Genomic DNA, 14,576 nt, shown 5'->3' with positions numbered 1-14,576 from the left:
CGGACGGGGCGGCTGGCCGGGCCGGGGGCTGACCCCCCCACCTCCCTCCCGGACCGGGCGGCTGGCCGGGCAGAGGGGCTCCTCACTTCCCAGTAGGGGCGGCCGGGCAGAGGCGCCCCTCACCTCCCGGACGGGGCGGCTGGCCGGGCGGGGGGCTGACCCCCCCACCTCCCTCCCGGACGGGGTGGCTGGCCGGGCGGGGGGCTGACCCCCCCACCTCCCTCCCGGACGGGGCGGCTGGCCGGGCGGGGGGCTGACCCCCCCACCTCCCTCCTGGACGGGGCGGCTGGCCGGGCAGAGGGGCTCCTCACTTCCCAGTAGGGGCAGCCGGGCAGAGGCGCCCCTCACCTCCCGGACGGGGCGGCTGGCCGGGTGGGGGGCTGACCCCCCCACCTCCCTCCCGGACGGGGCAGCTGGCCGGGCAGAGGGGCTCCTCACTTCCCAGTAGGGGGTGGCCGGGCAGAGGCGCCCCTCACCTCCCGGACGGGGCGGCTGGCTGGGCGGGGGGCTGACCCCTCCGCCTCCCTCCCGGACGGGGCGGCTGGCCTGGCGGGGGTTGACCCCCACCTCCCTCCTGGACGGGGTGGCTGCCGGGCGGAGATGCTCCTCACTTCCCAGACGGGGTGGCTGCCGGGCGGAGGGGCTCCTCGCTTCTCAGACGGGGCGGCTGCCAGGCGGAGGGGCTCCTCACTTCTCAGACGGGGCGGCTGCCGGGCGGAGGGGCTCCTCACTTCTCAGACGGGGCGGTTGTCAGGCAGAGGGTCTCCTCACTTCTCAGACGGGGCGGCTGGGCAGAGACGCTCCTCACCTCCCAGATGGGGTCGCGGCTGGGCAGAGGCGCTCCTCACATCCCAGACGGGGCGGTGGGGCAGAGGCACTGCCCACATCTCAGACGATGGGCGGCCGGGCAGAGACGCTCCTCACTTCCTAGATGGGATGGCGGCTGGGCAGAGAGGCTCCTCACTTTCCAGACTGGGCAGCCAGGCAGAGGGGCTCCTCACATCCCAGATGATGGGCGGCCAGGCAGAGATGCTCCTCACTTCCCAGACGGGGTGGCGGCCGGGCAGAGGCTGCAATCTCGGCACTTTGGGAGGCCAAGGCAGGTGGCTGGGAGGTGGAGGTTGTAGCGAGCCGAGATCACGCCACTGCACTCCAGCCTGGGCACCACTGAGCACTGAGTGAACGAGACTCCGTCTGCAATCCCGGCACCTCGGGAGGCCGAGGTTGGCGGATCACTCGCGGTTAGGAGCTGGAGACCGGCCCGGCCAACACAGCGAAACCCCGTCTCCACCAAAAAAATACGAAAACCAGTCAGGCGTGGCGGCGCGCGCCTGCAATCGCAGGCACTGGGCAGGCTGAGGCAGGAGAATCAGGCAGGGAGGTTGCAGTGAGCCGAGATGGCAGCAGTACAGTCCAGCTTCGGCTCGGCATCAGAGGGAGACCGTGGAAAGAGAGGGAGAGGGAGACCGTGGAAAGAGAGGGAGAGGGAGACCGTGGAGAGAGAGAGAGGGAGAGGGTGAGGGAGAGGGAGAGGGAGAGGTTATTTATTATTTATAACACAGTATAATTTTAAGTATAAAGCATTCCATTATATAGAGATATATATTATGTCATAATTCATTGAAATAAATTTTCATTAATGGACATTCAGATTATTTCTAATTGTTCAGTACTCTGAACAGTGTAAGGAACATACCTCTTTGGGTACTTGTCAGGTTATTTCCATAGGATAAACTGCCCTAAGAAGTATCATATCTGGGTCAGAAGGCACACACTTAGAAAGCACATATTGCCCTGTCGAAAAGTTAATACAAATGTCACTCAAATGAGCAGCATATGAGAGTGACTGCCCATTTCCTCACACTATGGCAACATTTCTCACCAGCTTCTAATTTGTTATCTTATTGTGCTTTGGAATGGGGAAGATTAGGCATAAATGAGACATTTTTGAGAGTTGGTAAGAGTTACAAGGAACTAAAAGGAAGCAGATAGTTTAACATAAAACTGTCTTATAATGAGTGCTGCCCACAATGAAAAAGGATGCTGTCCATGAAAGAGAGTTTCCCGTCATCAGAAATGTTCAAGACTTAAAGCCACTTGCTGGGGATGAGGTAAAGGGGGTTAGATAAACGCTAAGGCCCTTTTTGGTTGTGGGGGTATCTAACAATTTGGTCTGTAGCTGCCTGCTTAGTCTGAGTGAACTTGTATATCTAATTTTTCAGTGGTTGAAGGCCTTTCACTGTTGGACTTGGGAGTATCTCCGTATTCTGGAGCAGTATTTCATGAAGTAAGTGTTCTTATTTTCTTTTCTGGGTACCAAGAGTAGTTTACAGTCACAGATACCAAAGCCTAACCTCTGTTTTGTACAAACATTTAAAAAGATGTATTCTTGACGATCATATTTAGAAACAGCCCGTTTTTAGATGTCCTCTGCATAAGAAAGAGGTTTTGCAATTGCAATGGAAATGATCCAGATTAAGATTGTAACTGGGGAAGCAGATGAGGCTTCTGTAGAAGTTACCATTTGTAAAGGCAAATAAGTTGCAAACAGTCCTTAGTCCGCAAATAGGTTGTATGCTAATTAGCATGTAATTTGTTGTTTGGAATATGATTTCCCATGAAAACTACGGCAGTAATGTTGTTTCCTTAGAAAGCCCAGAAAAACTTACTTAACCCATAAAATTAGCTTTTTTTTTTTTTTTTGGCAGGGTCTTATTCTGTCACCCAGGCTAGAGTGCAGTGACACAATCACGGTTCACTGCAGCCTTGACCTCCTGGGCTCAAGCGATCCTCCTACTTGAGCCTCCTTAGTAGGGACCACAAGTGTGCACCACCATGCCCAGCTAATTTTTATTTAAAATTAGCTCTTAAGAATAGTAAAAACAGGCCGGGTGCAGTGGCTCATACCTGTAATCCCAGCACTTTGGGAGGCCGAAGTGGGCGGATCACGAGGTCAGGAAATCGAAACCATCCTGGCTAACACGGTGAAACCCCGTCTCTACTGAAAATACAAAAGATTAGCTGGGCGCGGTAGTGGGCGCCTGTAGTCCCAGCTACTCGGGAGGCTGAGGCAGGAGAATGGCGCGAACCCGGGAGGTGGAGCTTGCAGTGAGCCGAGATCGCACCACTGCACTCCAGCCTGGGTGACAGAGCGAGACTCCGTCTCAAAAAAAAAAAAAAAAAAAATTATAAACAGGCCAGGCGCGGTGGCTTACACCTGTAATCCCAGCACTTTGGGAGGCCAACGCAAGTGGATCACGAGGTCAGGAGTTCAAGACCAGCCTGGCCAACGTGGTAAACCCCCAGCTCTACTAAACATACAAAAAATAGCTGGGCATGGTGGCAGGTGCCTGTAATCCCAGCTACTTGGGAGGCTGAGGCAGGACAATTGTTTGAACCCGGGAGGCAGAGTTTGCAGTGAGCCGAGACTGCACCATTGCACTCCAGCCTGGGCCACAGGGCGAGACTCCATCTCAAAAAAAAAAAAAAAAAAAAAAAGAATAGTGAAAACACTCTTAATTAGGTCCAGATTATCTCTTGTTTACAGCAACAGCTTCCTGACAGGTCTTTTTGCATTCAGTCTTGCTCATTCACTGTATTCTGTAGTCAGAGCCATCTTTCTAAAATGTGAATCTGTTTCTGTCACCGTCTTGCTCGGCACCTTTGAATGTTCACCATTCACCTCAGGATAAAATCCAGATACCTTAGAGGGGCATACAAAGCCCTGAAGACCCTCCTCACCACATCCATCACATTTCTTTCCACTGCCCTTTCCATTCTTTTTTATTTTTTTGAGACAGAGTCTTGCTCTGTCACCCAGGCTGGAATGCAGTGGCACGATCTTGGCTCACTGCAAGCTCTGCCTCCTGGGTTCACGCCATTCTCCTGCCTCAGCCTCCGGAGTAGCTGGGACCACAGGTGCCCGTGACTATGCCTGGCTAATTTTTTTTTGTGTTTTTAGTAGAGACGGGGTTTCATCATATTAGCCAGGATGCTCTCAAACTCCTGACTTCGTGATCCGCCTGCCTTGGCCTCCCAAAGTGCTGGGATTACAGGCGTGAGCCACCGCGTCCCACTGCCCTTTCCGTTCTTATTGGCCATATCATTTTAAAGAAGTTTTCTAATTTGACAATGTACCTTCTAATTTTTTTTTTTTAAAGACAGGGTCTTGCTCTGTCACCGAGGCTGGAATGTGGTGGAATGATCATGGCTTACTATAGCCTCAACCTCCTGGGCTCAAGCAGTCCTCCCACCTCAGCCTCCTGAGTAGCTAGGACTACAGACATGTACCACCACAGCTGGCTAATTTTTAAAAATTTCTTTGTAGAGATGGGGTCTTGCTATGTTGCCCAGGCTGGTCTTGAACTCCTGCACTCAAGTAATCCTCCTGCCTTGGCCTCCGAAAGTGTTGGGATTACAGGCATGAGCCACTGTGCTTGGCCTTAATTTTTTTTTTTTTTTTGAGACAGAGTCTCGCTCTGTCGCCCAGGATGGAGTGCAATGGTGCAATCTCAGCTCACTGCAACCTCTGCCTCCCGGGTTCAAGCGACTCCTCTGCCTCAGCCTCCCGAGAAGCTGGGACCACAGGCACGCGCCACCATGCCTGGCTAATTTTTGTATTTTTAGTGGAGACGGGGTTTCACCATATTGGCCAGGCTGGTCTCGAACTCCTGACCTTGTGATCCGCCTGCCTCGGCCTCCCAAAGTGCTGGGATTACAGCTGTGAGTCACCGTTCCTGGCTGGCCTTAATTTTTATAGTTATCTCTCTCATATGTACTTTGAGAACAGTTTTTTTTTGTTTGTTTTTTGGCTCTTCTGTCTAATCTTTCAAAAGCATTCAACTTGGTCCTCATAGAAATAACAGCTGTCTTTTGCATTTCAATTTTATTATCTCTGGGTTAATATCTAATCAAACTGCAATAACAAGAACTACTGGCAGAAACAGGTTAGGAACAACTTCAGAGACTTTTTTTTTTTTTTTTTTGAGACAGAGTTTTGCTCTTTTGCCCAGGTGGAGTGAAGTGGCGCCAACTCGGCTCATTGCAACCTCTGCAACCCCCTCCCCCTTCCCCCACCCTGGATTCAAGTGATTGTCCTGCCTCAGCATCCCAAGTAGCTGGAGTTATAGGCGTGTGCCACCACGCCTGGCTAATTTTTGAATTTTTAGTAGAGACAGGGTTTTGCCACCTTGGCCAGGCTGCTCTCGAACTCCTGACCTCAGGTGATCCACCTGCCTCGGCCTCCCAAAGTGCTAGGATTACAGGCGTGAGCCACCGTGCCCGGCCAAGAGACTCTTAATAAGCACACAGGGCCGGGCACGGTGGCTCACGCCTGTAATCCCAGCACTTTGGGAAGCCTAGGCGGGCGGATCACAAGGTCGGGAGTTCGAGACCAGCCTGGCCAATATGGCGAAACCCCGTCTCTACTAAAAATACAAAAAATTAGCAAGGCATGGTGGCAGGTGGCTGTAGTCCCAGCTACTCAGGAGGCTGAGGCAGGAGAATGGCGTGAACACGGGAGGCGGAGCTTGCAGTGAGCCGAGATGGTGCCACTGCACTCCAGCCTGGGTGACAGAGCGAGACTCCGTCTCAAAAAAAAAAAAGAAAGGTGTCTCTCATCACCTTAGTCTTCCAAAGAATCTTATGCTTATCCTTTTCCTGGCTCATGTCACACTCTTGAAATTGCCTCTGTGTTTATTTTACTCATTATGATATATTGTCTTCAAAACAGGTGCTGTCCCCTTCTTATCACTTATTCCTAGTGCCTACCTCTATCAGCATATGCATTACAATCCTTCCCTCCCTTCTGTCCTTCCTTTAGTAAAGATTTGTTAAATATTCACTAAGTGCCAGCTACTCTGCTAGGTGTTAGGGATACAAAACAAGACACAGTGCCTGGCTTCATGGTGCTTATACTTCTGAGAGAAACAGACAATAAGTTAGTAAAAAAAAGAAACAAATTTCAGAGCCAAGGGTATCACCAGAGATAAAATACATTTCATAATGATAAAAGAGATAGCGATACTAAATGCTTATGTATCAAATTACAGAGCTTCAAAATATATGAAGACTGATAGAACTACAAGGAGAAATAGATCCACAATTACAGAGATTTCAATATCCCTTTCTCAATGATTGGTAGAACAAGCAGACATAAAATCAGCAAAGATATAAAAGACTTGAATAACAACCAACTTGGGTCAGACATGGTGGCTCACGCCTGTAATCCCAGCACTTTGGGAGGCCAAGGCGGGTAGATTGAGGCCAGGAGTTTGAGACCAGCCTGACCAACATGGTGAAACCCCGTCTCTGCTAAAAATAGAAAAATTAGCTGGGTGTGGTGTTGTGCACCTGTAATCCCAGCTACTTGGGAGGCTGAGGCAGGAGAATGGCTTGAACCTGGGAGGCGGAGCTTGCAGTGAGCGGAGATAGTGCCACTGCACTCCAACCTGGGCGACAAACCTAGACTTCATCTCAAAAAAAAAAAAAAAACCCAACTTGACCTAGTTGTCATTTATAGAACACTCCATCCAACAACAGCAAAACACATAATTTTTTTCAAATGTACACGGAACATTTGCAAGATAGACCACATTCTGGTCTATAAAACAAGGCTCAGTAAGTTTAGAAGGATTCAAGTTATACAAAATATATTCTCTGACCACAATTGAATTAAATAAAAAATACCAGAAAGATATCTAGAGAATCCCCAAATATTTAGAAACTGAGTAACATATTCTTAATTAACCCATGGATCAAAGAAGAAATCAGAAAGGAAATTAGAAAGTATTTTGAAATGAATGAAAATGAAACACAACCCATCAAAATATGTGGGATGTCACTAAGTAGTTCTTAGGGAGAGACTTATAGCACCAAATGCTTATATTAGAAAAGAAGACCTCAAGTCAATAACCACAGCTTCTACCTTAAGAAACTAGGAAAAGATAAAATTATACTCAAAGTAAGCAGATTAAAAGAAATAATAAAGATCTGAGTAGAAACAAAGGGTAGAAAACAAAACTAATAGTGAAAATCACTGAAACAAAGATGGTTCCTTGGGATGAGCATTAAAATTGATAAACTTGGGAATGATGGATATGTTCACTTTCTTGACTGTAATGGTTTTATGGATGTATACATAGGTCAAAATTTGTCAAACTGAGGCCAGGCACGGTGGCTCATGTCTGTAATCCTAGCACTTTGGGAGGCCAAGGTGGGAGTATTGCTTGAGCCTAGGAGTTTAAGACCAGCCTGGGCAACATAGTGAGACTCTGTTTCTCCCCCCAGGGGGAAAAATAAATTAGCTGGTTGTGGTGGTATGTGCCTGTAGTTGTAGTTACTCAGGAGGCTGAGGTAGGAGGATCGCTTGATCCTGGAAGGTCTAAGCTGCAGTGAGCCATGATTATACCTCTGCACCCCAGCCTAGGCAACAGAGTAAAATCATGACTCAAAAAACGAAAATAAAAACAAACCAAATAGCTGGGACTACAGATGCTACCCATGCCCAGCTAATTTTTTTTTTGTAGAGATGGGGGGGGTCTCACTTTGTTGCCCGGGATGGTCTCAACCTCCTGGCCTCAAGTGATCCTCCCACCTCGGCCTCCTAAAGTGTTGTGATTGCAGGTGTGAGCCACCGGAGCTGTCTGGAACCTGGATTTAAATGCGAATCTGACTCCAAAGTCTTTGTTCTTGCTACCATGCTAACTTGTTCTCACTAAAAAGTCTGTCAATAACCTCTCAATGTTATAGGACACATTCATGCATATGGTTTAGTGATGGGAAGAGGTGCTCCTCAGTCATCAGCATGGGCTCGCTAAAACCAGGTCATGCACTTCCCTTCTGGTTCTGGTGGATTGGTGAACGGGCTTGCAGTAGCAGACCAACCTACCTGCCACGAACAACTAGAAAAGCAGGATGAATATGAAAAAAGGAAAAAAAAAACCACATCTGCTGGAAGGCATTGGAAAGTACCAAGATAAGCAGGACTCCAGGGATTAAGATCCCAGAGGGGAAAGTACAAAAAGTAATACGAACAGTCTGAGCTGCTTTGTCCTTGAAGCATTTACCAATTTGTAAGTGACACAGGTGGAGAAGCAGAACAGAAATTGGCTGGCTAGAGACCAAGAAGCTAAGCAGAGCTATTGGCAGTCTCAGGGTGCTGGGGAAATACAAATTGGAGTGCAGGACCAACCAAAATGACAAGGCTCTGGTAAAGGACTTGCCTTTAGGCTGGAACTTCTGAAGGACTACACTCTAGGAGTAAGGGTAGACCAATATAGACTAGTTTTACAAAGACTAAATCCAGCTTCAAATTAGCTCAATCCCTAAAGTGAAACAACTATATTGTAATTACCAGCTTAAAGAAATCTTTTCCAGAAGAAAATACCTTCATCCAAGCTGCTGTAGTTTGTCATACACAATGTCTGTCATTCAATAAAAAATTACCAACCATTGGCTGGGCATGGTGGCTCACATCTGTAATCCCAGCACTTTGGGAGGCCGAGGCTGGCGGATCACCTGAGGTCAGGAGTTCAAAACCAACCTAAGCAACATAGTGAAACGCTGTCTCTACTAAAAATACAAAAATTAGCCAGGCATGGTGGTGCATGCCTGTAGTCCCAGCTACTCGGGAGGCTGAGGCAGGAGAATCACTTGATCCTGGGAGACAGAGGTTGCAGTGAGCCAAGATCACGCCACCGCATTCCCGACTGGATGACAGAATGAGACTCCTTCTCAAAAAAAAAAAAAAAAAAAAAAAAAAAAAAAGAGAAAAAAAGAAAAGGAAAAAAATTACCAAGCATAATAAGAGACAGAAAAAAATAGACAATAAAAACAGATTTACAGGTGATTTAGATATTGAAGTTATCAAACTACTTGGACTTTAAAATAGCTGTGATCAGCCGGATGCAGTGGCTCACGCTTGTAATCCCAGCACTTTGGAAGGCCAAGATGGGCAGATCACTTGAGGCCAGGAATTCAACCAGCCTGGCCAACATGGTGAAACCCTGTATCTACCAAAAATACAAAAACTAGCTGGGTGTGGTGGTGTGTGCCTGTAGTTCCAGCTACTTGGGAGGCTGAGGTGGAAGGATCGCTTGAGCCCAGGAGTTGGAGGTTGCAGTGAGCTGAGATTGTGCCGTTGCCCTCCAGCCTGGGTGACAAAGTGAGACCCTTTCCCCCCTCCCAAAAAAGAAAAATAGCTATGATCAATGATTAATATGTTCAAGAAATAAATAACAGAATAATTTCACCAGGGTATGTAAAAAATGAATCAAACGGAAATTCTAGAAATAGAAAACATAATAAATTAAAAATGTAAGGCCAGGCACGGTGGCTCATGCCTGTAATCCCAGCACTTTGGGAGGCCGAGGCGGGCGGATCACGAGGTCAAGAGATTGAGACCATCCTGGCCAACACGGTGAAACCCTGTCTCTACCAAAAATACAAAAAAGTAGCCAGGCATGGTGGCGGGCGCCTGTAGTCCCTGCTACTTGGGAGGCTGAGGCAGGAGAATGGCGTGAACCTGGGAGGCGGAGCTTGCAGTGAGCCGAGATCGCGCCACTGCACTCCAGCCTGGGTGACAGAGTGAGACTCCGTCTCAAAAAAAAAAAAAAAAAAGAATGTAATAGATGGACCGGGCACAGTGGCTCATGCCTGTAATACCAACACTTTGGGAGGCCAAGGTGGGCAGATCACTTAAGGTCAGGAGTTCAAGACCAGCCTAGCCAACATGGTGAAACCCTGTTTCTACTAAAAATATAAAAATTAGGCAGGCGTGGTGGCATACGCCTGTAATCCCAGCTACTCGGGAGGCTGAGGTGGGAGAATCGCTTGAACCTGGGCACTTGAACCTGGGAGGCGGAAGTTGCAGTGAGCCGAGATCACGCCACTGCACTTCAACCTGGGTGACAGAGCGAGACTCCGTCTCAAAAAAAAAAAAAAATGTATAGATGAATTTAGCAGCAGATTACACAAAGCTAAAGAGAAGATTAGTAATATGGAAGATAAAGTCTGTTGAAAATACCTAGATTCAAACTTGGAGAGAAAAGGATAGAAAACACAGAAAAAAAAAAAAAAAGTAAGAGATCTGAAACTTAGTAAAACAGCCCAAATTATACATCAGTGGAGTTCTAGAATGGGAGAAGAGACAGAACGAGGCAGAATCAGTATTTGAGGAGATTATGGATGAAATTTTTTTCAACATTTACTAAGATTTTTATTCAGGAAGCTCTATAAACCCAAGTAGGAGAAGGTCAAAGAAAAACATATGTAATTTTGAACATAAGTTCAAAATAAAACAGACCGGGCGTGGTGGCTCACACCTGTAATCCCAGCACTTCGGGAGGCCAAGGCGGGCGGATCACGAGGTCAGGAGTTTGAGACCATCCTGGCTAAGACAGTGAAACCCCATCTCTACTAAAAATATAAAAAATTAGCTGGGTGTGGTGGCACGTGCCTGTAGTCCCAGCTACTCGGGAGGCTGAGGCAGGAGAATTACTTGAACCCAGGAGGCGGAGGTTGCAGTGAGCTGAGATCGCGCCACTGCACTCCAGCCTGGGGACAGAGTGAGACTCCATCTCTAAATCAGTCAATCAGTCAATCAATCAGTCACATCTTAGGTCAGGTGCAGTGGCTCATGCCTGTAATCCTAACACTTTGAGAGGCTGAGGCAGGCGGATTGCTTGAGCCCAGGAGTTCAAGACCAGCTTGGGCAACATGGCAAAACTCTGTCTCTACAAAAAATACAAAAATTATCTGGGTGTGGTGGCGCACATCTGTAGTCTCACCTACTCAGGAGGGTAAGGTAGGGGGGTCACCTGAGTCTGGGAGGTCAAGGCTTCAGTGAGTCATGATCGTGCCACTGCACTCCTGCCTGGCCGACAGAGTGAGACTTTGTTTCAGGAAAAAACCCCAAAAACAAAAACAAAAAATTTTGCATATAAGGACACAGAAAGGTGGAAAGTAAAATGACAGAAAAAACTGTATTATGCTGACAGCCCAAAGAGGCTGATGTAACTATACTATCAGATCAAGAATATTTTAAGACAAGAAACCTTACTAGAGATGAAGAGGATTATTTTATAATGATAAAAAGATCACTGCACCCAGAAGATATAGTAATTCTACATAGAACTGCATCTAATTACATAGCTCCAAAATATATAAAGCAAAAATGGCAGTCACAGTGGGGGATTTTTTTTTTTTTTTTTTTTTTGAGACAGGGTCTCACTTTGTTGCCCAGGCTGGAGTGCGGTGGTACAAACAAGGCTCACTGCAGCCTCAATCTCCCTGGGCTCAAGCAATTCTCCCAACTCAGCCTCCCAAGTAGCTTGGATTACAGGTGCATGCTACCTCACCCAGCTAATTTTTTAAATATTTTGTAGAGGCAGGGTTCCACTATGTTGTCCAGGCTGTTCTCAAATGCCTAGGCTTAAGTGATCCTCCCACCTCAGCCCCACAAAGTGCTGAGATTATAGGCATGAGCCACTGTGCCTGACTGGGAGATTTTTAACATACCTCTTTCAGTCAGTGAAAGAACAAACAGACCAAAAAAATCAATAAGGATGTAGAAGATTTGAACAAATCATTAGCAAACTGAGCCTACATGTCATATATAGAATGATGCAACCATAGGTGTTAATATGCATATTTGAATGTACCTGCAGCACTTACCAAAGTTGACCATATAATGGACCGTTAAGCAAGTCACAACACATTTTAAATGATTGCAGTCATATAGTGTATTTTCTATTACCACAGTAGAGTTAAGCCAGAAAGAAATTATAAAAATATAAAAAGAATGGGAGGCCGAGGCAGGCAGATCATGAGGTCAGGAGATCGAGACCAGCCTGGCCAACATAGTGAAACTAAAAATACAAAAAATACAAAAAATACAAAAAAAAATTAGGCCGGGCATGGTGGCTCACGCTTGTAATCCCAGCACTTTGGGAGGCCGAGGCGGGTGGATCACAAAGTCAGGAGTTTGAGACCAGCCTGGCCGAGATGGTGAAACCCCGTCTGTACTAAAAATACAAAAATTAGCCAGGTGTGGTGGCGCGCGGCTGTAATCCCAGCTACTTGGGAGGCTGAGGCAGGAGAATCGCTTGAACCCGGGAGGTGGAGGTTACAGTGAGCCGAGATTGTGCCACTGCACTCTAGCAACAGAGCAAGACTCTGTCTCAAACAAACAAAAAACGGCCGGGCACGGTGGCTCACACTTGTAATCTCAGCACTTTGGGAGGCCGAGGTGGGTGGATCACCTGAGGTTGAGAGTTCAAGACTAGCCTGACCAACATGGAGAAACCCCATCTCTACTAAAAATACAAAATTAGCCCAGCGTGGTGGCTGAGGCAGGAGAATCGCTTGAACCCGGGAGGCGGAGGTTGCGATGAGCTGAGATCGTGCCATTGCACTCCAGCATGAGCAACAAGAGCGAAACTCTGCCTCAAAATAAATATATAAATAACAAAAAAAATTAGCTGGGTGTGGTGGCAGGCACCTGTAATCCTAGCTACTGGGGAGGCTGAGGCAGGAGAATCATCTGAACCCTGGAGGTGGAGGATCTTGCAGCAAGCGAGATCCAGCCACTGCACACCAGCCCTGGCAACAGTGCGAGAGTCTGTCTCAAAAAAAAAAGAAAAGAAAAGAAAACTCCTAAGTATTTGGAAATTGAACATGGTACATTTTAAAGTAGTCTCAAAGAAGAAATGTTACTGGAAGTTAGAATATATTTTCAACTAAATGATATTGAAGAAAATGGCTGGGCACAGTGGCTCCTGCCTGTAATGCCAGCAGTTCGGGAGTCTGAGCCAGGTGGATCACTTGAGGTTAGGAGTTCCAGACCAGCCTGGCCAACATGGTGAAACCCAGTCTCTACTAAAAATACAAAAATTAGCTGGGCGTGGTGGCAGGCGCCTGTAATCCCAGCTACTTGGGAGGCTGAGGCAGGAGAATCACTTGAACCCAGGAGGCGGAGGTTGCTCTGAGCCAAGATCGTACCACTGCACTCCAGCCTGGGTGACAGAGCGAGACTCCATCTCAAAAAAATCCAACGTATCAAAACTCGTGTGATACAGCTAAAGCCATACTCATAGGAAACTTTATTGCTTTAAACAATAAAAAATGAAATACTATGAACAATTTTGTCAGTAAGCTTGAAAATTTAGATGAAATGGACAAATTCCTGGAAAAACACAACTTACCTAAATTGACAAAGTAAAAACAGCAAATCTGAATGTTTTATCTATGAAATAAATAGAATCTGTGATTTAAAATCTCTCAAAGAAAATCCAGGCAGAGATGGCTTCACAGTGAGTGAATTTTCCCAAATCTTTGAGGAAGAAATAACATTAATCTTTCTGAACTAGTCTCAAGAAAATAAATAAAGAAAAAAATATTATACAAACTTATCAGAGAACAGAAGAAGCTCATTTTGTGAGTGAAATGGAATCAGCAATCTTGGTCTGTTGTGGAATTCCCCTCGGCTATTATATATGTCTTAGAACTACAATTCACCTCTTACCTTTAGTGTCTTGACTATATATTTTTTATTTATTTATTTATTTTTTTTGAGACAGAGTCTCGCTCTGTTGCCCACGCTGGAGTGCAGTCGCGTGATCTCGGCTCACTACAAGCTCTGCCTCCTGGGTTCACGCCATTCTTCTGCCTCAGCCTCCCTAGTAGTTGGGACTACAGGCGCCCGCCACCACGCCCGGCTAATTTTTTTGTATTTTTAGTAGAGACGGGGGTTTTACCGTGTTAGCCAGGATGGTCTCCATCTCCTGACCTGGTGATCTGCCTGCCTCAGCCTCCCAAAGTGCTGGGATTACAGGCGTGAGCCACCGCACCTGGCCAGTGTGTTGACTATTCTTTAATGGTTATTTAACACATCAGATTTTATTTCCTTTACTCAATTCAACAGATAGTCCCAGCAGCACAAAATGGTCCGGCAGTACTAAATTATTCTCCCCTATAAGCACACCGGCCAGCTGGCGTAGAACAGTATTCCAGGAAGGAGAATACTAGCATAATAGTTTGCTGACATAATAGTTTTCTCCCCACTCTCTACTCTGGAAACTGATAATAGTAAGGTTTAACTTAATTTTTTTTACATGTCTGTTTTTTTTCTGCAGACTCCATTAATAATATACCTCTTTCATTTCCTAATTGACTATGCTGAATTGGTGTTTATGGTAAGTAACCTTCCATATAAAATTGATATGTATATATTTTTAAATTTTATGGTTTATTGTCTCTCTCTCTCTTTTTTTTTTTTTTTTGAGATGGGGTCTCACTGTGTTGCCCAGGCTGGTCTTGGACTCCTGGACTTAAGTGGTCCTCCCATTTCAGCCTCCTCAGCTGCTGGGACTATGGACACATGACACAGTGCCCGGCTTGTCATCTTGTGTTTAAGAAAAAAACAAAAAACAAAAAACATAGGAACTCAGGAGTTTCTCAGAAAATAAAAGCAAAAACTTATGTCTTTACTTTGAATTCATGGAACTGTGGCAGTATTATGGAAGTGTGAGGAATAGTTTCTGATGTGTAACCAGTTCCAAATACTTACTCTTTTTAGA

The 14,576-nt window shown here is 46.5% G+C and overlaps 1 protein-coding gene across 2 annotated transcripts in view; it reads left to right on the top strand.

The window, feature by feature from the left end:
* The window catches only part of PIGU (phosphatidylinositol glycan anchor biosynthesis class U), a 116,551-nt gene that overhangs the window by 17,626 nt on the left and 84,349 nt on the right, over positions 1–14,576 (top strand). For both annotated transcript variants that reach the window (XM_017027664.2, NM_080476.5), the window contains exons 2-3: positions 2,223–2,287; positions 14,133–14,192. In XM_017027664.2, coding sequence (XP_016883153.1) covers positions 2,223–2,287; positions 14,133–14,192 — 125 coding nt within the window. The remainder of the gene's footprint in view (positions 1–2,222; positions 2,288–14,132; positions 14,193–14,576) is intronic.

The sequence above is a fragment of the Homo sapiens genome, chromosome 20 (assembly GCF_000001405.40).
Source record: "Homo sapiens chromosome 20, GRCh38.p14 Primary Assembly".
NCBI lineage: Eukaryota > Metazoa > Chordata > Mammalia > Primates > Hominidae > Homo > Homo sapiens.
Note: the sequence above shows the minus strand (reverse complement) of the source record. Positions and strands in the feature narration are given on the sequence as shown.